We start from the raw sequence: 24,394 nt of genomic DNA on the forward strand, positions 1-24,394 counted from the left end.
GCTGAGACTCAGAAACAGAATTCCAATATCAGGACATAGGTCACCATTTTTTTTTGTAAACATTACTTGTGACAGAAATGGATTCTTCCTCAGTTCTCCCTGGGTTGCTTTCTACTGAAACTCAGGAGGCTCTGCTGTCACGTACTTCGTTGCCCACATCATCAGCTCAGCCTTGTCCACAGACCCTGTCAAGTTTACTGGTTTGAGAAAACATCTTCCCACACAGGCCCCATCACCAGGCCACTCAGGATCTTCTGGATCCTGGATGAACCCTAATTACCAGCTGGCATCTTTGTCATCGATTCTGTAGGGTTTAGTGGATCAGCAGTTGGTCTGACGTTTTTCATTTCAACAGCATAAAACATTTTATCAGCCTTACTGGTGGGGACTGGGTAGCACAATTCATGGCTCCATTCACTCACGCTTCCTGCTAAATTCATATATCAATACATTTCTCTAGAAAGTACTATTTCTTTTTGTTTTTTTTTGTTTGTTTGTTTGTTTTTGTTTTGAGACCGAGTCTCGCTCTTGTCACCCAGGCTGGAGTGCAATGGCATGATCTCGGCTCACTGCCACCTCTGCCTCCCAGGTTTCAAGCCATTCTCCTGCCTCAGCCTCCAAAGGCTGGGATTATAGGTTCCTGCCACCACGCCCGACTAATTTTTGAATTTTTAGTAGGGATGGGGTTTCACCATGTTGGCCAGCCTGGTCTCAAACTCCTGACCTCAGGTGATCCACCCGCCTCAGCCTCCCAAAGTGCTGGGATTACAGACGTGAGCCACCGTGTCTGGCCAGAAGTACTATTATTTCATACCAACATCTCATCCACAATTTAGATAAACTTAGAAACCTATGAGACCGTTATTCTGGAACACTTGTACAAATTACGGTGATACTGAAACAAAAATTCATAGAAAATATATTAAGCAAAAATAATAAGGTGATGAAGGATAACTCCTTAAAGGTTAAAAGAGTAACAAACATTGCCCATCTTCTAAGCCACTATCAACAAACATTTCTCACAGAAGCACAAGGAAGTGCAGCTTCTGCAAGCCCTGTTGGGGGTTGGCTAACCTAGTGTTCCTGTCTCTCTGAGCCCCTGGCATTACCTAGAGTGGTAATCCTTTCCACTCCATCAACCATCACCCTAGTCCACCTTCTCTCTCAGTAGATGACCCAACTTCCACTTTGTCCAGAAGCCTGAGGTCAGCCTTACTTTCCTCCTTTATTTCCTTCTTCATTTCAGAACATTCCTGAATCTACATCATCCTCCATCCTTCATTCCTTCTCTCCAGTCTGAGAGAAAGAGGTGTTGCTCTTTTCCAATACTAAAAAAGTTCCCGATTCTCATGATCCATATTTGTCCCATTTTCTCTTGAACCTGCTTCCACCACTGTTCTTTCTCTTGTAGCTTTCCATTTCTCCCTGTACTTAATTGGATCCAAGTATTTAGTAGGAACTTAATATGGCTGTCCAAATGAATCGGTCACCTCATCTTTTTCTTCTGCCTTCATGTGCGTGCACACACAAACTCCCAACATGGAAGGCAAAAGGAGTAACAGCCGCATTCCCCCCTCTTAATTCTTTCCCTCCTCTCACCTGTGATCAATGGTTTATGCTCCCTTTTCTTCAATGCCCACATCTTAATCCATCTCCCCCAACTCGTTAATGCACTATAGGCTCCTGTTCTTGAAGGTAAATGACTTCCTAATTGCCTAATCCAATGGCCTTGTTTCAGCCCGTTCTTCTTAACCTCTGCAACATCTGATACTGCTGACCACGACTTCCTTCTTGATGCTCTTCTCTGGACTTCAGTGAATCTGTAATCTCCCCATCCCGTGTCTGATTGCACACTGTGTGCTCGGGTGGTTCCTCTTCCTCCTTTATTTTATTATTATTATTTTTTGAGACAGAGTCTTGCTCTGTCGCCCAGACTGGAGTGCAGTGGTGCTATCTCGGCTCACTGCAACCTCCGCCTCCTGAGTAGCTGGGACTACAGGTGTGCGCCACCACGCCCAGCTAATTTTCATATTTTTAGTAGAGACGGGGTTTCATGTTGGCCAGGCTGGCCTCAAACTCCTGATCTCAAGTGATCCACTCCCCTCAGCCTCCCAAAGTGCTGGTATTACAGGTGTGAGCCACCGCACCCAGCCCTCTTCCTCCTTTCAAATGTTGGCATTTCCACCGTTTTGACTCTGTTCTCTCTGGCAGCTATCATCCATTCAAGCAGTTTAAGCCGTCACCTCTGTGTAGGTGACCCCCACATGTTTATCACAGGCTGGGCTCTCCCTCAGAGGTTACAGTGATATATTGCAGCCTCCTGCTACAATGTCAAAGATGCGCTTCCAAAGCTGAACCCCTTATTTTTTCCTAAAAATCTAGCCATCTCACCCTCTATCCTAACATCTCCATGACTGTTCTAGTCACTTGGCTCCAAAACTATGAACTATGATGGTTCTTCTTTACATTCATAGACAAGAAGGTGCTAAGCCTTATTAATTTCTCCTTCCTTCAAAACATCTCTTGCATCCAATTCTTTATTTCTGCTGTTGCTGCCACTTCCACAGTGAATGTATTTATCACTTTCTAGAAGGACTAAAGCAAATCTAGACATCTCATCTACCTGAGCACTCTGTCTCCCTTTAATTTGCCTATATTTGGCTACCAGATTAATCTTCCTAAAACATCTCTGAGCATGCCACTCCCCTCTCCAAACTTCCACTGGCTCCTTACTGTCAAGGAGATAAAGCTGAGAACTCGATACATTTACATGTTGATTCCAACTACCTTGTTAGCTCCAGCTCTACTAACCTTCCTGGGTCCTTAACTTGAATGAAGCTGGTCTATTCGCTGTTTCTAGAATGTCTCTTATACTTCCTATCTTCACACTCTTACACTATTCCTTTACCTGGCATGCCTTTGCTGCTTTTCTCAACTTATCCAAAGACCAGCCAGCTTAGATTCCTTCTCTTTCCAGACCACTCTAACCCAGTGATCATTCCCAACTCACTGTTCCTACAGCACTTACCATATGTACCATCTGACTTCAGCTCTGACTTCCTAGGGGCAGTTCTGCTAACATCCAGCACCTGATTGGAGCCCCACCTCCACCCTGGGCCCATGGATCTGCTGGAGGGTGTTCCCTTCTTGCTTCAATCCTGAGCTCCGACCTCCATCTACGCACTGTGACTGCACGTCTGTAGGAATCCTCGTGCCTGACAAGACTATTCTGGCTTGCTTATTCAGAATCCGTACTTCACCCGTTTCTTCCCACTGTTCTTTTTGTTCAAGTCAACATCCCCCTTATTCTAAGTCAACATCCCCCTTATTCTAGAACAACACAGAATATGGCTATTCCCTATTTATCAGTATCAAGTGAATATCCATATTGTTCTAGATGTTGTATACAATATAGAAATGACCAATTACTTGGCTTTCAGTAACTTAGCCACTGAAGAGTCAAAGCAAAACAGCCATTTCCTTCATCCTTTCGTGTCAAGCCTGCTGCTTATTTTTCAGTCTTTAAGTACCCGGAAGGGGGCGGTCAGAGAGAGCGACAGCAGAAATACGCTGTTCATACATAAAGAAGGTGAGGTGCTAGTCTCTGTTTTCACTGTTTCAAAAAGATCTTGGTGGAAAGGCCGTCCACGGTGCAGAAGTGGAATTTTACAGAGGGGAAGAGGGTGGCTTATGACTTATTTGTTATTGGGATGACAGCCAAGGGTCATAAAATTGTGGAAATCATCACTGGCTGCCTCTGATGACAGATGCCCAGGATCAGACAGGAGGCCTACATGGCTGGAAACACCCTGCACCACAGCCGGCTGCCTCAGACTCCGGCCTGGCCTGGTGTGGCCCCTGCTGCCCCTTTATGAAGTCAACAGCCGCTATTCCAATGACTGGACCCAACGCTCAGTGCAGACGTGTTACCTTTGTTCTGTAGCAGAGGCCACTTTGCTTCAGGCAGCAAAATGCTCCAACAAGATATAGTTAAAGTCTTTAACAGTAATACTTTTTTAAATCCCTGAAATACCTTCATAAGGAATAAGACACTGCTGGTGGTTTTGTAGCTTAATCTTAAAATAATCTTATGGCAACACACTTATTTCCAAACATTTCTCCTTGAGAGTATTTCTCTGGAACAAACCTTCCCTATTAGTTTAGCTTTCAGAGAGTTGAGCCCACAACGTATTACTTCTCTATTTATTCAGATCCTAAAGTGAGGGACAATAAAGTGGGGGTGCAGAGGGGGACTCAATGTTTTTTTCCACTTGAAAGTAAAAGCTAAATGTCTCCTCTCATTTCTTTCTGTATTGACCTCTGGACTAGTCAAGGCTACTTCCCGCCTCATTTGTCAATATCCTTTTCAGGAAAAACAGAGGCTTAATGCACATTGTCAGTTTGATCCAATGGCAAAATCTCAACTGCTTTTTAAGTTATCTCTGCACTTCCTAGTTGGCTCTTGAAAGAGAAGGCGGATTTTACTCCTTCTAGGTGAGAGACCAGGGGGACTACTGGACTTGGGAGGGCAAGTTTCGAGCCCATGGGGAGCAGTAAGAGGAACCCAGGAGGTCACGGTAGGATAAATCTGCCATAACCACACCTGCTCCTACAGGAATGACCTGACCCAGACTTTTCCACAAAAGCCTTAGTGGCCTCCCAAGATAAAACCTGTCAAAATGGCCACATTTTCATTCACTAAAGGACAGGGAGTCACCATAACCTAGAACTAAAGCTTTTAACAAGTAGCATGCCTATTACCATACCACTCTGTCTCATAAACAGGCTGAAGTCATAAACACTGAATCTCAGATATGCATGGGGTTCTTACATGCTTGTTAATTACACAGACACGAGTTCATGTGGTTGCTACAGAAGTGATAAGTAAAAAGCACTGAAGAACAAATTTATTAAAATTTAAAACAACTTCTATTACACAACTATATATAATAAACTCTTCATTGCATATGACAAATGAAAAATAGCACCTATAAAACTGACATTAAAATATATGCTATAGTTAGAAGAATTAAAGTCCACTATTTGTAAGACATTATTCCTTATTACCATAAAGCTGACAAAGTCTCTCATGCCGAAACAAATCCAGGTTACCCAGACTTAGGGTGCACTTTGATATGCTAAAGGCAATGAGGGTTCTGACCCTTCTTTTAGTTACTTTATTGAAATTCTCATTTTGCATTTATAAAAAGCATGTATGCAAGTCTGCATTTCAAAATACTATTTTTAAAACATCTGCCTTCTAGCCTTAATTATAGATGCCATTTATGTCTATAAAATGCTAGACTTGACTTCATCTGCTATTCCTCAGGATTCTTAAAACACTTATGAGTCTCCAGGTTTTAAAATCTTGAGTACTAAGTACACAGCAGGCTCCAGGACAGATGTTTTATGGACAGGGTAAGCATACGTCCTACTGCCGGTTGGACGTATGCTTACCCTGTTAGGCCAATTCAATTATTCAGAGCACCCTCCCTACTTTCATTCTCACAAAGGTCCTACTTTGAAAACTGGGAAGTCATGTGATGGGTTTAAGCTTCTGTGATAAGTGAAAAAAATCAGACCCTGACCCCAGAAGTTCAAACCTAGATCTAAATTCTTTTTTTTTTTTGGGACAGGATCTCACTCTCTGTTGCCCAGGTTGGAGTGCAGTGGTGCAATCATAGCTCATTGCAGCCTCGAACTCCTGGGCTCACATGATTCTCCTGCCTCAGCTTCCCAAGTAGCTAGGACTATAGGAGCATAACACCATGCCCGGCTTCAAACCTATGTAATTCTATGCACCTTTTGGTTTCTCTTTGTCTTAATGGTTTAATGAGAAATTCATTGGTCTGGGGCTACAAATAATGTAATAATAAGAATATCTAAAAATCTTCATGATTTCTTGAAGTCTTAACTCACACAGTTACGGTTTTTTTCTTTCTTCTTTTTTTTTTTTTTTTGAGACAGAGTTTCACTCTTGTCACCCAGGCTGGAGTGCAATGCTGCAATCTTGGCTCACCACAACCTCTGCCTCTCGAGTTCAAGCGAATCTCCTGCCTCAGCCTCCCAAGTAGCTGGGATTATAGACGTGCGCCACCACGCCCAGCTAATATTTGTATTTTTAGTAGAGATGGGGTTTCAGCATGTTGGCCAGGCTGGTCTCGAACTCTTGACCTCAGGTGATCCACCTGCCTCGGCTTCCCAAAGTGCTGGGATTACAGGCGTGAGCCACTGCACCCAGCCAACTCACACAGTTTTTTAAAAAATGACATTTGTTAAGGGACTGGCTCATTTAGCATATTTTCCCCCCACTATTTACTTAGTTTCTTCATAACTTTATATTTCACAATTAGATGAACTGAAAAGTTGCTTCATATCTGAGTAACATTTCCTTTCCATTTCACCACCCCTAAATAAATTATCTACTGGAAGATCAGACTACAAGGATGAGTGAGGGTTCAACTACAATAAAAAAAAATAAATTGAATTCAATTTCACTGAATTCTAGCAAAGCTCAAGCCCTGATTCCCAGGGAGGTGATCTCTAAAATAGTGGCACCAATTTTATCGGTATGTAATATTTAATTTGGGTTTGGCAGATGTAAAACAGATTACCGCTCAGAATCCAGTTATATTATTCAAGAGAATGGAATCATGAACACCTGATTTTAAGAGGTACTAACTTCCTTACTTCCTAAAATCTTCTGGACACAAGCTCTGGCTGAATAATGAGTACTTAATAGATGCTACAGATCTTTTTTTTTTTTTTTCATAATAAAGAACTCAAAGGAAGGATTAATTCTCATATTTAATGAAATGCCATATCTGTCTAATATAGATTATGCACATAAGACATAACAAAATTATAGAATATGTCAAAAATATATGAATGTTGGAAATATGCATCTAAATGGACATTTTTAAACACCTAGAAAGGGTTAATCTGTATAACCCCTGAGAACCCTGGATGACATGGTGATCTAATACCTCAGGGGGTCAAAAAGTACTTGGAAAGTTTCCTTCATTGACATACTAAATAATATTCATAAAGTTTTAATAATCCTGCTTATTAAGTTTATATTTCACAAGGAGTACACAGATAATTTCAGGTTAGCCCATTCTAAATGATACATTTCCAAAACAGTGTATACTGAATGTCCCTGGGGCTTTTATACCATTTTCAATCAATGTCTGTTTACCCACTAGTTGTGCAATGTTAAATATATAGTATATTCCACCAGAGCACAGCTTAGGATCAACCACAAGCTCTACAGAATTCTTTTTTTTTATTATTATTATACTTTAAGTTTTAGGGTACATGTGCACAATGTGCAGGTTAGTTACATATGTATACATGTGCCATGCTGGTGTGCTGCACCCATTAACTCGTCATTTAGCATTAGGTATATCTCCTAATGCTATCCCTACCCCCTCCCCCCACCCCACAACAGTCCCCAGAGTGTGATGTTCCCCTTCCTGTGTCCATGTGTTCTCACTGTTCAATTCCCATCTATGAGTGAGAACATGCGGTGTTTGGTTTTTTGTCCTTGCGATAGTCTACTGAGAATGATGATTTCCAATTTCATCTTGCAGCACTATTCACAATAGCAAAGACTTGGAACCAACCCAAATGTCCAACAATGATAGACTGGATTAAGAAAATGTGGCACATATACACCATGGAATACTATGCAGCCATACAGAATTCTTTTGTCAATAATGACAATAACAATACTACTGATTGCAGCACTGGGCATTTGAAAAAAACAAAAAACATGAAATAAAATCAATCATCAAGTCTGTATTAAGGGTCCTCTACATAAAAAAAGATTAGGGTTGAGCACAACAGGAAACACAAAGACATCTAAGACATCGTCACCGACCTAAAGGAGCTTAGAATCTCATGGGGATTGCCAAGTACAATGCAAATTAAAAAGGACAGCTGGTAATTCTAAGGCAACATAAACAACTTGCCAAAGTAAACACTAGAAGTTTAGAGGCAGGAGTCACTATGCATTGTGGTCAGGCAAAGTTTCACAGCAGAACTAAGACTCAAGCTGCAATTAGAAAGATGGGGCAGAAGGCTAGTGCTCCAAATCCTGCAAACAGAGTGTACTTCAGTCCATCAGGAGAGTGAGACTCATGGCGGGAGCGGCCAGCACTGCGGTCTCTGTACTAGAAAGCTCAGGCTTTGCTTGGAGACAACTGAGGTGCGTTTGCATAGTGGCAATACAATAACAAATGCTAAAGCAATAAATAACCACCAGTATGCACTGTGTATACAACTACCTAGTTATCCAGAATTGTCATCTTCTGATAACTTCTATCTTCTAGAAGTAATTTCTAAATACTCAGAGAGCTGGGGGGAAGCCCAACCATGAGAGCTGCTCATCTAATTTCTCCTTTCGCCTTCTCTCTCACTGGCTGCCATCTAACACATCAACAAGTGGTAGGTGACTGTCCTGATTGCCTTTGCTCTCTATATGTCAGACTCCAGGTGTTTGCTCGATACAACAAAACTACAGTGTTTCCCTGTTTTAGAGATGAGTAAATGGAGCTATAATTTGTCCAAAGTCACTTCGCCTCTGCTAGCAGGGCTGGGATTTGAACTGAGGTCTGCCTGACTCCCAAATCCATGCCACCAGCCAAACTTCTTCATTCTTTAGGTTCTCAGACTACAATCACCAAACAACGAGATGAGTCCCACACCAGCCAAAGGAAAAATGAGGGCTGATAAGTGAAGGAAGACAGACTGAAACTACAGGACGCACCTGACTATACGTCACCTGATAAAATAGTGGATGTCAACAACAATGACCCTGAGTCATCTCTCATTTCTGTGTCTTCTGGTTATGACATCTGAGAAATATAACCATAAGAAATGATTAAAATAAAATACATTTACCTATTTAAAGAGGTAACCACTGCTTATCTGATGCATAGGGGGTCAGTGCAGAGAAGTGGCCTTGAGTAAGAAGAGCCGGGCTAAGGGAGCTTGGGCAAGTGCTCAGCCAATGGGAAAGCTGGTCCAGAGGGGTAAGGGGGACCCGGACTAAGGAACTGCCTGAGAAAACAGGAAGCAGCAGAAATATAAAACTCTGCAGAGGAGAAAAGGTGAGACATGCTGACAGATGAGATGTGAGAGCAAAGGAAAGAGGGGACTAGAACACATTTGGGGTGCCAGAAGGAGTGGGGCTCCACGAGTGAGAAGGAAGATGGGAAGTGGAGTTGAAGTGTTGGGGGAGGGGAGAATAGAATCTGTTTTCAACATGTTGAATTATGAGCACTAACGGGATATCTACGTTGAAATGTCCAGTGTTCAGCTATTCATACTGAAACTCTGAGGCAAGAAATTGCTTAATTTACTGAAGTGTCAGGAGCTAATGGTCTTTCCTAACCAGCACCCAGTTCCTACTTGCTAGGTTGAATTGTGAATGACGATCACCCACTTTGAAAAGGGAATGGAAATCAATAGGATGGGCTGGGCCTGCATGGGATTAACTGGAAGGGGAAGAGAGCAAGGTGACCCTGAACTAGTTCATGGGTAAGGCCAAAGACAGAGGGACACAGCCAAAAGACCAGAAGGCCAGAATGAGAAATAGCAAATGGGAAAAAGATCTAAATCAAAGGTTCATGCCCCAAAGGGACTAAGAGAATGGTGCTGCTGACGGTAAGAGCACAGGCCAGCTAGAAGGGCTTGGTTTGGGGCAGATTTTGTTTTAGGCATTAGTAACAACAAAGAGGAAATGTTCTATATGCAACAAGAAAAAAGCCAGGTTAGGGAATGGGCGCAAGGTCATGGGTGGAGATGTGGACCTGAAGGCTGTCATCAACACCTCGGTGGAAATGGAGTCCCCGTGGGTAAAGCTGTTTCCCAGGAGAAATGCTGTAGAAAGTAGAGCAGATGGCAAATCAAGTAATCCTCGGGGGCAGAGACATTGTCAAATAGTATGAGGAGGACAATATGAGTCACAGGGAAACATCAAGGATGAAATGATGATAAACACAATTAAGGGATTGATCCAGGAGAATGAAAACAGAGAAAGAGTGGCAGAGCCTGGCTGGGAATGAGCCAATAGCCCTCTTTTCCCACAGGGTCAGGAGCAGGGAAAGAAGGGTGCTCTCCTGGGAAGAGAACCAAATGCACCATGTCACGCCTCCTGCTCTTCCAAGAAATGTGGTTCTCTTAAGAACGTTCAAAATCTTTTATGTCATCTGCCTTGAATCTGCAAATGCTACCATAGGCTGTGTTTCTTTGATTGAGAAAACATCCTTTTCCTAACATTTGCAAATTCTCCACACATCTATCTACTTATTGACTCATTATTTGTCAGAGTTACATGTTCAGACTTAATTCTCTTTCTGCAAGCTGCTAACTTGGCCCCAAATAACTCCTTTTGGTAACTCTGCTATACTGCTTTGAATGAAGCCATCAACCACTGTGGGTGAGCCAGCCTTGCCCTGCAGTGGGTGAGTACAGACAACCCATAATTGTTTATCTACAGGACATGGTGTCAAGAGCTCATAAGCAATCTGAAAATTCCCAATCCAATCCAGTGCTGAAGCAAACACTGATAAGACACAAACGCTTTTTCAGCTTCTTTCTCCAGGAAACTGATGGGATCAATGAAAAGAAAATAAAACAATTCAAAGAATCCTTTTTGAAACAAGAGTGGCATTGGCTAATTTTTTTTTTTTTTTTTTTTTTTTGAGACAGGGTCTCACTGTCACCCAGGCTGGAGTAGAGTGGTGCAATCATAGCTCATTGTAGGCTCAACTTTCTGGGCTCAAGAGATCCTCCCACCTCAGTCTCCCAAGTAGCTGGGATTACAGGTGTGCGCCATCATGCCTGCCTAATTTATTTTTATTTTTTTATAGAGACGGGGTCTCCCTATGTTGTCCAGGCTGGTCTCGAACTCCTGGGCTCAAGCGATCCTCCTGCCTCACACTCTCAAGGTGCTGGGATTACAGGTGTGAGCCACTGTGCCTGGCTGGGTTAAGAACCTTATTTAGAAAAACACAAAACACCACTTTCTAAACATAGCATATGAATCTGCCAGGGTTGGGGTACCAAAGCACCACTGACTGGGCAGCCTAAACAGCAGACGCTGTCTCACAGTTCAAGAAGCTGGAGTCCAAGACCAAGGTGTCAGCAGGGCTGGTTCCTTCTGAGGGCTGGAAGGGAAGGGTCTGTTCTAGGCCTCCCTCCTTGGCTCACTGATGACTGTCTTCTCTGTGTGTCTCTTCACATCATCTTCCCTCTGTGTGTATCTGTGTCCAAATTTCCCTTTTAATAAGGACATCAGTTGTATTGGGTTAGGGCCCACCCTGATGACCTCACTTTAACCTGATTCCTTCTATAAAGTCCCTACCTCCAAATAAAGTCACATTCTGAGATATGGAAGGTTAGGAATTTAAGATATGAATTTGGCAGGGGGGAAACACAATTCAACCCATAACAATAGTTTTAAGGAAACCAAAAGCATTTTACTAAAGTATAATTTTCTCAGGTTAAATAATTACCATATTCCAAAAGAAGTCTCTTCGGTTTTCCCTTCTTGGAGATAAGACATTTCACTTTGTGCTTTCTCTATATCTTACCTTAAAGGACCTATAAGTTCATTTCAATTAGTCTAATATCATAGCTGGAAACAAGTAAAAGCATACTATCTACTTTAAATTAAGCTCTGCATGAGTTGATGTTACAACGCTTCTGAAAAAGGCCATATAGGAATGTATCTCTCAATCTACTGAGGAGCAACTGTAGTCACTTTGGTATAAAAGAGAATTGGAGCCAGGTTCAGTGGCTCACACCTGTAATTCCAATGCTTTGGGAGGCCGCGATGGGTGGACTGCTTGAGCCCAGAAGTTCAAGACCAACCTGGGCAACATGGTGAAATCCTGTCTCTACAAAAAACAAAAAAAATTAGCCAGGTGTGGTGGTGCACACCCATAGTCCCAGCTATTCGGGAGGCTGAGGTGGGAGGATCACTTGAAGCTGGGAGGTAGAGGTTGCAGCAAGCTGTGATTGCAACACTGCATTCCAGCCTGGGTGACAGAGTAGACCCTGTCTCTGAGAGAGAGAGAGAGAGAGAGAGAGAGAGAGAGAGAGAGAGAGAGAGAGAGAGAGAGAGAATTGGGAGTGGCTTATTAATAACACAAAAACTAGGTTTCCAGTTTTGATTCTGTGTGTGTCTGAGGCAGAACCTAAGTAGGCCCCAAAAGCCACCTCAAGAGTGGCTGGCAGTGGGCGGCCAAGTTCAGGCCACCCCTCTTCATGCCCCTCAGCATCGAGGAGGAGCCCCGGCTTGGTTCTTCCTCGTGTGCCCTCTCTCACCTGCCATCCACATTGTTCTGTTTTTCAACACTGCATTTTCTTTCCAATGGAGGATCTCAAGAAGACAACCTTTTAAATAAACGTGGTGGGATGAAAAAGGCAAACACCCACAAACTATGAAAACAAAATCAGCTGTACTTCTGGTTTCAACCCAGAGGAATTCCATTTAAATCCACATTTTTTCAAAGATCTAGAAGGCTGCTTACCTTGTCCCTGAAATGTTCTAAATAAGGACGGTTAAAGTTTCAGCAGTACCAGTTTTCAGGTGTTTGAATCACAAACCTTTACGAAAGAAAGCACCTTCCCTGAATTTTTCAGCCACTTCCTAACATGACATACCAATGTCCCTCCATTCACTACTGGTTCAAAATCCTCACTGACCACCTCAAGAGACAAGTAAACCAGACCTGCAGCAGATACTGAGGAGGCCAGGTGTGTGCCTGGCAACGGAAGGTAAGCCTCAGATGGACTTTTCCTATCCTTTAGAAATGTTTGGTAAAGTCTAAATCAAGACTAAAAATCTGGTAGGCTTTTTCTCTTCTGAGCAAGAGTGAATTTGTTAGCCTTAAATGTCTGGTACTATGTTGGTAAAGTAAAATGATGCGTTTTACTAGCCAAACACCCATTTCCGGCCCAGTCCACAGCTGAGGTGCCTTTTTGAGCTACCTCAGGTTCTACTTCAGAAATGTTTGTGGCACACAGAATCAGAACTGGAAATCTACTCTATTCTTTCCCATTTTGGTGTTCTTGTTACCATGTCACTGCAATTTTTTCTCTCTTTTTTTTTTTTTGGAGACAAAGTCTCACTCTGTCGCCCAGGCTGGAGTGCAGTGGTGAGATCTCGGCTCACTGCAACCTCCACCTCCCAGGTTCAAGCAATTCTCCTGCCTCAGCCTCCCGAGTAGTGGGGATTACAGGCATGAGCCAACATGCCCGGCTAATTTTTGTATTTTTAGTAGAGATGGGGTTTCACCATGTTGGCCAGGCTGGTCTCAAACTCCTGACCTCTGGTGATCCACCTGCCTTGGCTTCCCAAAGTGCTAGGATTATAGGCATGAGCCATCGCACCTGGCCCTAATTTTCATTTAAACTAAAAACTGTGTAGATTCTATTACTATGTGTCCTCCCAAAAGATATGTTAAGTCCTAACCCCCAGTACCTGTGAATGTGATCTTTTTTGGAAATGGGGTCTTTTCAGAGGTAATCAAGTTACAATAAATTCATTAAGGTGAGCCGTAATCCCATATGACTGGTGTCCTTGTAAGAGGAGACACAGACATACACACAGAGTGCGGGCCACACATCGACAGAGGCAGAGACTGGAGCAATGCAGCTGTAACCCAAGGGATGCCCAGCATTGTTGGGAGCCATCAGAAGCCGAGAGAAGGCAAGAAGGGGATTTACCTGGAGTCTTCGAGGGAACGTGGCCCTGCCAACTCCTCCAAAACTGTGAGAGAAGACATTTCTGTTGTTTTAGGCCACCTATTAATAGTTTGTGTTAATTTGTTACAGTCACCCTATGAAACTAGTACCCTCTGCAAAATAAGTCAGGATGTATTTCATTGAAAAGGCATGTCTGTACTCAAGCTATGATAAAGTATTTATAACAATCGCAAAGTGACGCTGGCCAAATGGCAGGTTGCCCTCTCAGCCTCCCGGCCTGTGTCTGTGGCCTCTTGGTTAAAAAGCAACAGAAGCATCTACAGCTTTACTCCCACGTTTTAGTCTTAATTCCTGCCAGGGCACTATACACCTCCTCTCCTTATGCAAATATATTTGTTCATTGTGATTGAGGTTTGACTTCAAAACAACAAAATTTCTAAGGAAGGCATCTAAAGTTCGATCTGTTCTCATCAGTGACGTCCACAGTTAAGAGGCCACAGACGGCACTTCCTCAAACCTGCCTTTTCTAAACCTCAACTTCTTGCTGAGTTATACAAAGGAACCAGGACAAAGGGCCGCCAAATGGGTTCTGCGCTCAGTGCAACACCTGTTTGCACACCCCTTGTACTCATGTTTATGTATTTCTTTGAGCATTTCTCTCACAGGCTGTTCTCTAACTGCAAAGAAAACTTTGTGAAAGATGTTTTGCAGACACAGTGATGCCGGGGATGTGAGATGCAGATAACCCTTTCCCCCAGGCTCTCTTTAAATACAGGATTCATTTCATCCCCTTCTTAAAGCACAATAATCCATCCTTCTTACTTGATTTAAATAGCAACTGCTATTTACAACAGGAGCTCCATGTTACAACTGTTTTGTTCCTTGGAGAATTGTTTCATTCCCCTCAGTTGCCTTTAACTGACACCTGACTAAACTCAATTAGGGATCACTTCGGGAAAGGTACCACCTCCACAACTCGCAGGGAGAGGGAAGAGCAGGAAGAAACGAAAGGAAGAAAGCTGGAGTGTGGGGAAAGTTGGCACGGATGCTGAGAGGAAAAGGAAAAAGAAACTAAAGATGAGAAAAAGGTGAGAAAAGAGAAGGCAAGTGAAATTATATTGGAGCACACTAAGAATAATAAAGTAGCATTGTAATGTGCTTTGTAAACTATAAAGCATAATAAAAATGCAATGTGGTATTATTTGCAATATTTAAATAGGTGCTTTTGTGTGTGTGTTTGTGGATATGAAAATCAGCTGGTACAGGGATCCCTTGGCAGGGCAACCAGTGGCCCATTCTAAGCTGTGCAAATTAAAGTGGGTTCTTTGGTCTGTTGCAAGGACATTTTTCTACTGTGAGTCACTGTCATCAAGCCAGTCCTGGCGTTATTACCCAACAACTCCATGGCACGGAGCCACTTACACCCAGTGCTGGGAGGAGGTGCCCACTCAGATAATACTGGTTCTTGTAGCGGGGCGCCTTCCCCACGTACATCTAAGATGTCTGATAGCTCTCCTATGTCTTGCTTTAAAACAGACAGGATGGCATTTGGTGATGTAGGCCATCCCTATCTTCATAGGGGTCTGTATTCCAAGAGCTAATTTTCAGATTGTTTCTGCATTCTCAACAACTAGGTCAGATGCCAGTGCTGCCCTTTCTAGCTCTGTGATCTCAGCAAGTTACTTAACCCCTTTCTGCCTCAATCCCCTCATCTCTAAAGTGGAGACAGTAATCATATTTCATAGGGTCCTTGTGAGGAGTAAATGAACATATATATATATAACTATATATAACATATATTATATATGACATTATATAACATATAATATATATAACATATTATATATATATGTGTGTGTGTGTGTGTGTGTGTGTATAAAATAGTGAGTCCCTGATATGGTTTGGATCAGTGTCCCCACCCAAATCTTAAATTGTAATCCCCAGTGTTGGAGGTGGGGCCTGGTGGGAGGTGACTGGATCATGCGGGTGGTTTCTCAAGAATGGTTTAGCACCATTCATCTTGGTACTGTCCTTGCAACGGGAGTGAGTTTTCTTGTGAGATCTGGTGGCTTAAAAGTGTGTGGCACCTCCCCCCTCACTCTCTCTTGCTCCTGCTCTGGCCATGTGAAAGGCTGGCTCCTCCTTCACCTTCCACCATGACTGTAAGTTTCCTGAGGCCTCCCCAGAAACTGAGCAGATGCTAGCATCATGCTTCTTGTACAGCCTGCAGAACCAGAAGCCAATTAAACCTCTTTTCTTTATAAATTACCCAGACTCAGGTATTTCTTTATAGCAATGCAAGAATGGACTAATACAGTCCTAAACAAGCGTTTAGTGAAAACTGAGGGGAGGGTGGTCAGCTAGCTCCCAGAGGCCTAGCTAACACAGAATAGAATTTACTTTCAAAGCTTCTGCATCTCTTTTCCATGTAACATTTTAACCAAAAGCACTATCCTTGGTCATAACTGAGACCCAGTTTCTATGTACAATATGCTTATTGCAGATTTGTATCTACTGTATAAACAATGATCTCAACTTTTTTGATTAAGCACTTAATCAGGGGAAAAGAGAACACTCCTGATATATGTGATTTTTATAATTAAAAATAATCTATGTTTTACTTTCCAATACAGTATTGTTAACCAAAAACACAAATATAGAAAAATTTAAAGGATAAAGTGAGATAAAATATACATATTCAAATTTTCTTCTGTATCCTAATACGTTGTCTTGCACCCATTACTTTGAAAAGCTGTGCTGTAATTCAGGTAAGCTAAGCCATGTAACTTAGAATTAGTCTTGGCCAAATGATCCACCTTGGACAATAAGAAGTACGCAAGAAGTAGCATTCTCAGGCAAAAGCCTTTCCGGCCAGTGTGTGACTCCTCTTTCCCTTATATTACGGTAACCAACCATGGTCTGGGGAGGAGCAGCTCCTTTGCCTGGTCAGTGAAAGAGGGTAACAAAGAGCAGAGACCCCAGCTGACCCAAGATGTGGCGCAAGTGTGAAGCAAACCTCTGTTGTTTGTTACTGCTGTACAACTTAGGCCATCCTAACCAGTGCTGGAATATTCGTTAATGCTGCCATCCCTAATGAGTCACAATTAACGTGGTTTAGTGTAATTCTATTGTGAGGCACAGCATGCTCACCTAGCAAAACCAGAGCACACGTTTTTAAAGACAACGTTAAAATTCCGAAATAGTTCAGTCCCTTTCTTCCATGTTTTAGCATCACTTCCATTCCCCAGGAGAATGCTTCAGGAGATCAATGTGTCAAATGATGAAACTACTCTCATCACCACCAGTGTTAGTGATTTCAAGTGTGCACGTACTAATCCCCCACCTAATAACTTTTCTGAACAAGTGGAAGGCACGGGATCTTCAGTGACAAATGCTCTGGTTTGGTTTGCAAACTTTGACGCAAATCACTCTCTGGTGACTAAAATTGGAAGATGCCCTACAGGAGTCTGGCACTGCTGCATACAGGCCTAAGTGCCCCCATGGGAGAATCAGCTTTTACCCTGGGCTGATGTTTTCTCTGGGAAAAATGGACTTTCCACACCCTGCCCCCTAAATGCATTCCCATGCTCCATGACGCCACGGTTGTGCTCTTGGTAAAGAATATTTAAGTTCTGACATCATGATAACCATGGGTATTATTCATGGTAAGCTCACAAGCCTGGGAAGGCACATTCTGTACTCTCTTTATCACTGAAGTCAGCAATGGTTTTAAAAATAGCATGGCTCACACACCCAGGGGACCACTGATTCATTAATGGCCAAATACACACTACTGTGGACTCCTAACTTGTATGGTGTTTTAGATTGTGATTTCTAGAATCAAGGCACACACATTTATCATTTCCCTCATAGGAGTGTTATGCTGTACTAATTTATAAATAGAGATCTGCAGATCCTAAATGAAGGAACCCTCAAAAATTACAAAACCAGGATTTGACAAGCCGTATGATTTGTGACTCCAAAATGACGTAAAATGTAATTAATGAGAATATCTACCAACTTGGTATAACTATGATATGTCATACCTAAATAAAGAGAGATGATGTTACAAAGATAATTGACACTAATCTTAGTGAAGTCTAGAAGTAAGTCATAGGTTTTTCACTGTCGAGGGGGGAAGGGAATATTTGATTCTAGATATCCCATGCAGGTTCTTTAAGAGAAGTATCCCATGAGCAGAGAATGTTTTCATGATTTATAAATACATTTAGAAGTACATGACGACTTAAGCCTTTTGCTTAAATTCTGTGCTAAATAAGCAACTTTCTCATCTCTTACTGGGATTCCAGAGAGGACCTTCTGACCAAGGAGAAAATACCTTGATATGTAGGCCTAGCTTCTCTGGATGCTAGGATTATCTCTCTTTAAATGATTCAGATTGATCCATCAGCCTTTTATAGAATTAGTTAGTATGAACCAGTCTTTTAGAACCCAATAATCCTTAAATTTATGGAGTCAAATTTCCAAATCTGCTAGGCTGAGGACTGTAGAGGACAGAGTGAGCAGCATCCAGGAATATCTGCTGAGCACCTACGATGTCCAAGCACCACCCCAAGAGTGGCAGGTGACCACTGGCATTGTGAAAGAAAGGGCTACCTGTTTTTCAGGTCAACAGGACGAGATGGGCCAAGGGGAGAAGAGATAACTGACCACAGAAGGAAGTCGCAACTGTTGCCCATTGAACGGTGCAGGCTTCAGAGAGTGGATGGAGTGCTCTCAGAGTCAGCGACCCCTTTACACACGAGAGTGCACCCCAAGGCGAAGCCAGGGGTGAGCTGAAACACAGAGGCCAGTGAGCACTGGGTTCCAGGGACAGATGAGACCCATTTTTATTTAAGATTCATAAGCCATCCACTGCCTACAGGACCTGGGATAGTGTGCAGATACAATACAAAGCACAATATGAAAATAAGATAAAACAGGACCAAACCCATCTAAGGGAACATCAGGAAGAATAAAACCATGCCTGTGGTTGAGGGCTCTGCATTGCAGTGAGTGACAAAAGGGTCTGGAAAGGCTGGAGTCAGCGTGGCAGGTCTTTGGTGCCTAGTTTCGATTTTGTTCTGTTGAGGAGTCACAGGAGGTGGCTGAGAGGGGAGGGAGGAATGGTACCACTTCTGAGTGGGAAATGAAAGCATGTGGCCAGGGGCTTGGCACCCACCATGAAGGCGCATCTGAGAGGCGATAGGAACCTGCAGGGAAGGTGCAGACAACAAACTAGAGGGATGACCCAAAGACCCTGGCACTGACAGGTAGGAAAGGAACCACGATAATGTGGAAGCCACAGGATCAGGTGACAGGAGAATGAAGGGAAGGCTGGTCCCCTTTGGCGTCCTTGCTGACTTCAAGTGGCAGAGGAAGGCATGACCTGGTAGACAGAGGGGCCAATGCCCTGAAGAAGCATTCACCAGGGCACTGCAACTCTGTTTCCAGAAGGGGCTCGCACACACCAGTGTCAGGGTGGCCAAGGTGCTTCCCTGAGGGAACTCCCACAGCAGGACGCGGAGAGCACACCCTCCTGGCACAGATGCCCTCTGCTCTGCCCTGATTCCCAGGGAGGGCATCTCCAAGGCCAGAGCTGACCTGAAACAAAATCAGCTCTCAGGCACTCCTAGGAGTTACTGTCCTGGGCCAATACCCTTTGTTGAAGCTGGGAGGATGCTATCGAATAACATAAAAACTTAATGCCTACGCTGGAGCTATGGAGTACAACAGGAACTACAATCCTACAAAACACAGCAACCCTTGCGGAACCACAAAGGCCAATCAAAGCCATTTACCCAACTAGGGTGCCTCATGTTACGCATAAGATATTAACAGAGAATGTCCGAATGTATGTTTTCCTTCCAACGGCTGGATGCAGGGAAGCTCTCTGGTTCTTTCACTAGCATCAAGTATACTCAATTTACTCCTCCAAACAAGCCACACAGGCCCAGCGCTAAGAGTCTTCCCTGTCAGTTCTCAAAAGGTGGTCAAGGGGTAGAAACTCTGTTGCCATCTTGCACCATACGGCTCTCAGCAGCTCGCCTTGTGGTCCTGACCTTGCCAGCCAAGCCCTTTTCATTCCGTTTTAGTTAAGCAGAAAATGAAGCTATCAGCTCCATTTCCACTCTCTCTGCATGAATTCATTTCCCTTTTCCATCCTGGCTCAAACTACATGGCTCATATAGTATTCCTACCGAGGTCTTACCTTGCTAAAGATTCTTCTCTTCTAAGACTTGCTGAATCCAAACAAAAAGGTGGGAGGACGTATGAGGATACATTCTAAGGGGCAACTTGAAATATAGGAAAGGATACAAGAATAATAAGCCCGTTGATTTCTTGTTTCCCAGCTTTTACACCCACAAAATCCTAAGAATTATTAAGGGATGGGGAATGTCTATGGAAGTGAAGTCAGTGACCCAGGAATCTGTTTTCCATACCTACTCATGCCATGAAATCCCATTAAGTCACCAGAAATCCCCTGGAGGATAAGCTCTAACACCAGTTAGTGAAAGAATAAAAATCACTGCAATTTGCTCATTACCCCAGCTTTTCACCCAAACCATGGCTGAAAATCGCTAGAAGCCCACCTTTCTCCTGGACTGCAGGAAAATGAGCTGCCAAGGGCCCTGCACATCCGGCCTCTGCTACACCAGGAGTTTGGGGCCGGAAGCTCCCCAGTGCCCCATTGGTCCTGGGCCGCATGAAGTGATTCAGAGCTACAGGGTCACGACTAAGCCATAAAATAAGAAACAAAGAACAAAATGAGCCTTTTCTTAGTTGCAAGCTAAAATTTGGGGAAAGTGATTAGAAAAAAGAAAAACAGTGCGGTTGCTGGGAAGGCCAATTTCCTTTTACTCACAGGAAATCTTTTCTGCTGATTTAAGAGCAGAGCCACACCTGCTCACAGACCAAATGTCAGCACAGGAGGAAGCTGCACCTTGAGTTATTCAACCAGTGACAAAAGCATTAAAACAATTCTGAGCTAAGGAAATTCAACCTGGGCTCCAGGGCCCAGACCCGATCCATCTGCACATGAGTTAGAGAAAGGATTCGAGTTTATGGAAAGAAAGGGCATAGGAAAGGCACAGGCTCAATTCAAGACTTAGCAGTCCTGTTTTATACATGTTCCCTGAGTACAGACCAGCAGATCTGGGCTCACAAACAAGACCCAAGACCTCCATTCTAAAAGGAATGAGAACTCCACCGGGTCAACTGACAAAACTGGAATGTAAACAGTGGCTCAGATAAAAATATTGTATCAGTGTTACATTCTCTTCAGTTGATCTCTGTACCATGTATGAGAGCGCCCTATTCTTGGGAAACACACGCTGAAGCATCGGGGGTAACGCGGAGCTGTCCAGAGGAGCTCTGTGTGCTGCTGAAGAGGTTCTGTAGTCTCTATTGTCTGATGCAGCCACACATGTGTCTATGCAGCCCTTGAAAATGTGGCTGGTGTGACTGAGGAACTGAATGTAAAGTTTTGTTTAGTTTTAATTTAAATAGCTACTTGTGGCTAGTAGCTACCATTCTGGATGGTGCCGGAATAAAGCACCATGATATTTGTAACTTACCCTCGAGTCATATAACGATCATTCGTGTGTCTGTATATACAAACACACCACAGGCACACACACAACAACCAAAAGAGCAACAGTGAGAGACAGCACATTCAAGGGCATGACAAAACAAATGGGGTGAAGTGATAACAGGAAAATCTGGATATGGGGTATAGGGGAGGGGAATCTGGGTATAGGGGTAGTCTTTGTACTATTTTTATTTTTGCAATTTTTTAGTAACTTGGAAACTATTTCCAAATAAAATGTTTTTAAATGTATAAGGATGAACATTTATTTATTAATCACTGAAATCTACCAGGCAAAAAGAGGAACTCATTTCCGGGCAGGGAATGGAACCCAGGATGTCCAAGACATTGGCAAATTTTGAATGAATATTGTGGAGGCCACAGGACACTCCTCTCTGAACACTGCTCCTCCACACCCATGGCACAGTGCTTCTCCCACAGTGGCAGAATAAATGCCCTCGCCCAAGATAAATTTTCTGACTTCTTTCCATCTGACCTCTAGCCTGTCCATGAAGGACTTGGCTACAAAGGTAAGTTTCGGGCAAGTTTTGTTTTTGAAACAGGGTTTCACTATGTTGTCCAGGCTCAAACTCCTGGGATCAAATGATCCTCCTTGCCTTAGCCTCTCTATTTGCTGGGACCACAGGTATATGCCACCATCCCCAGCAGGGCAATTTTTAAAGTAACAGCTTTATGGACATAACAACTCACATACCATAAAGTTCACATTTTAAAAATGTACAGTTCAGGCCAGGTGCAGTGGCTCATGCCTGTAATCCCGCATTTTGGGAGGCTGAGGTGGGCAGATCACATGAGGCCAGGAGTTCAAGACCAGCCTGGCCAACATGACAAAACCTCATCTCTACTAAAAATACAAAAAATAGCAGGGTGTGGTGGCACATGCCTGTAATCCCAGCTACTCGGGAGGCTGAGGCAGGAGAATTGCTTGAACCCTGGAGGCGGAGGTTGCGGTGAGCCAAGATTGTACTGCTGCACTCCAGCCTGGGTGACAGAGTGAGACCCTCTCCAAAAAAAAAAAAAAGGTATAGTTCAGTGGTTTTGAACACAATTGTGTGACCATCACTGCTATCTAATTTCAAAATATTATCATCACTCTGATTATCAGAAACCCCATACCCATTAGCAGTCACTCCCCATTCCCCCTTCCCACAGCCCCTGGAAACCATGAATCTCTACTTTCTATCTCTGCGGACTTGCCTGTTCTAGACATTTCATATAAATGGTATCACACAATATGTATATGTCCATCTGGCTTCTTTTGCTTAACATAAAATTTTCAAGGTTTACTCATGTGGTAGCATGTATCAACATTCCATTCCCTTTTATTGCCAAATAATATTCAGTGGACTATTACTGCACACTTTGTGTATCCACTTGTCAGCTTATGGACATTTGGGCTGCTTCTCCTTTTCGCTGCGATGCAACCATGTGGACACGTGTTTTTATTCCTCTCGGGTACATACCTGGGAGTGGAACTGCCAGGTCAGGTGGCGACTCTATGTTTAACCTTTTGAGGACCTGACACTTGTTTTCCAAAGTGGCCTCCTGAAGTCCCCAGGAGTCATGCAAAGTCCCCCAGAGGTCCCAGGCAAAGCGCACAGAAGGCCCTTCTGCAGAGATGCTGCCCTTCTGTCCTTCGGTAAAATACCAGCCTAAATTCAAAGCAGGAGTCAGGGTTTGTTTGATTTGAGGTAAATAAATTAGAGAAGCTGTGACTCGCTCAGTGCCAGCAGCATGCTTAGCCTGGTATCGCCCCGGAGAAAGAGCCAGCACCTGGCATGGCAGACGAGGGTTGGCACAATGCATGCTTGCTTGCCAGATGAAGAGGCGCTCTGTGCAAAGTGCAGCTGCAGCAGGACGCAAACTGGTGCTCTCTCTACCGTCCCTCACCAGGGCAAAGCTGTCTGTGCTCCTGGTCAAAGCCTCGGAGGACTTATTTGCTGTCATCCACACACTGTGCTCCGGAAAGTGCCTGCTCAGAAACTGGCAGGGAGAAGACCCGGAGGGAGTGAGGACCATGAGAAATCAGAGAGCAACTAGACAAGGAAGATATCAAAAGAGACGGGTCCTTCGAGGCCTGCACACCTGTTAGTCCTAATATATTTCAGAGCAAGGGATCAGACTGGTGCACACATGGGCTGAAGCCCAGGGAAGGAGCCAAGTCCACCACCAATGCAACTGGTGAGTCAGTATCAGGCATGTGTCCCCTCCAAGCTGGCAGTAAACAAACACTCACACTTCATGTTTGGGCACTGGACTAAATTACCAGGCAAAAGTACAAATTCCGGCCAGGCGCGGTGGCTCATGCCTATAATCCCAGCACTTTGAGAGGCTGAGATGGGCGGATCACTTGAGGTCAGGAGTTCAAGACCAGCCTGGCCAACATGGTGAAACCCCACCTCTACTAAAAATACGAAAATTAGCCGGACATGGTGGCAGGTGCCTGTCGTCCCAGCTACTCAGGAGGCTGAGGCAGGAGAACTGCTTGAACCCTGGAGGCAGAGGCTGCAGTGAGCTGAGATCGCGCCACTGCACTCCAGCCTGGGTGAGACTCTATCTCAAAAATACAAAGTACAAATTCCAAAGCTAGTTAAGCAAGCTTGGGGGTTGGTGAAGAGTTGGTGAGGAAAGGAGGATTTCTGCAGAGAAGAGCAGAAGTCCTGGAATGGCTGGCTCTCTCTTTCATTCCCTTCACTTTTCATCCATGTGTGCGCCCTGGGGAGACACTCGGTTTCATCTTAGAGTCACTGTGCTGAGCCTCATAGGCCTCTTCTTTCACTCTGGACCCCATCCTTCGTATCGTCCTGTCCTCTTGCAACATTTCACTTGTCCTTCACCTTTGCCCCCTCGGGACAAACTTTGTTGGCAGGCCTGGCATTATTTTTGTTTTTGAAGATATTGTATTTCAAAAGCAAACTGCTACATATTTAATAAAGAAAGCTCAACCACAGTTTGACGCGGTGGGGATGCAGAAGTGGCAGGCAGGTAGCTTGAGATCCTGAATATGTCCTACCAGTGCACAGCCTGTTCCCTCAGCCCCCATTAATCTCCACACTCTAGCCTGTC

At 43.8% G+C, this 24,394-nt stretch overlaps 1 protein-coding gene across 13 annotated transcripts in view, besides 1 other annotated feature; it reads right to left on the reverse strand.

The window, feature by feature from the left end:
- The window catches only part of HIPK2 (homeodomain interacting protein kinase 2), a 216,429-nt gene that overhangs the window by 155,681 nt on the left and 36,354 nt on the right, over nt 1-24,394 (reverse strand). For 4 of the 13 annotated variants that reach the window (XM_011516080.4, XM_011516079.4, XM_011516078.4 and 1 more), the window contains exon 1: nt 22,792-24,385. The exons of 7 other annotated variants lie outside the window; for them this stretch is intronic. In XM_011516080.4, the coding sequence (XP_011514382.1) occupies nt 22,792-23,347 (556 nt within the window). In that variant the 5' untranslated portion in view covers nt 23,348-24,385. Of the gene's footprint in view, nt 1-1,599; nt 8,718-22,791; nt 24,386-24,394 lie in introns of those variants that run through there. 2 more of the 13 variants (XM_047420262.1, XM_011516081.3) reach the window with 2 other exon arrangements.
- Nucleotides 3,580-3,874: a silencer, noted in NCBI's record as "tiled region #6205; K562 Repressive non-DNase unmatched - State 20:ReprD". NCBI's record gives its function as "represses a minimal TATA promoter and a strong SV40 promoter by Sharpr-MPRA in K562 cells {active_cell/tissue: K562}" and the evidence as "EXISTENCE:reporter gene assay evidence [ECO:0000049][PMID:27701403]".

Source organism: Homo sapiens, chromosome 7, assembly GCF_000001405.40.
Source record: "Homo sapiens chromosome 7, GRCh38.p14 Primary Assembly".
Taxonomy (NCBI): Eukaryota; Metazoa; Chordata; class Mammalia; order Primates; family Hominidae; genus Homo; species Homo sapiens.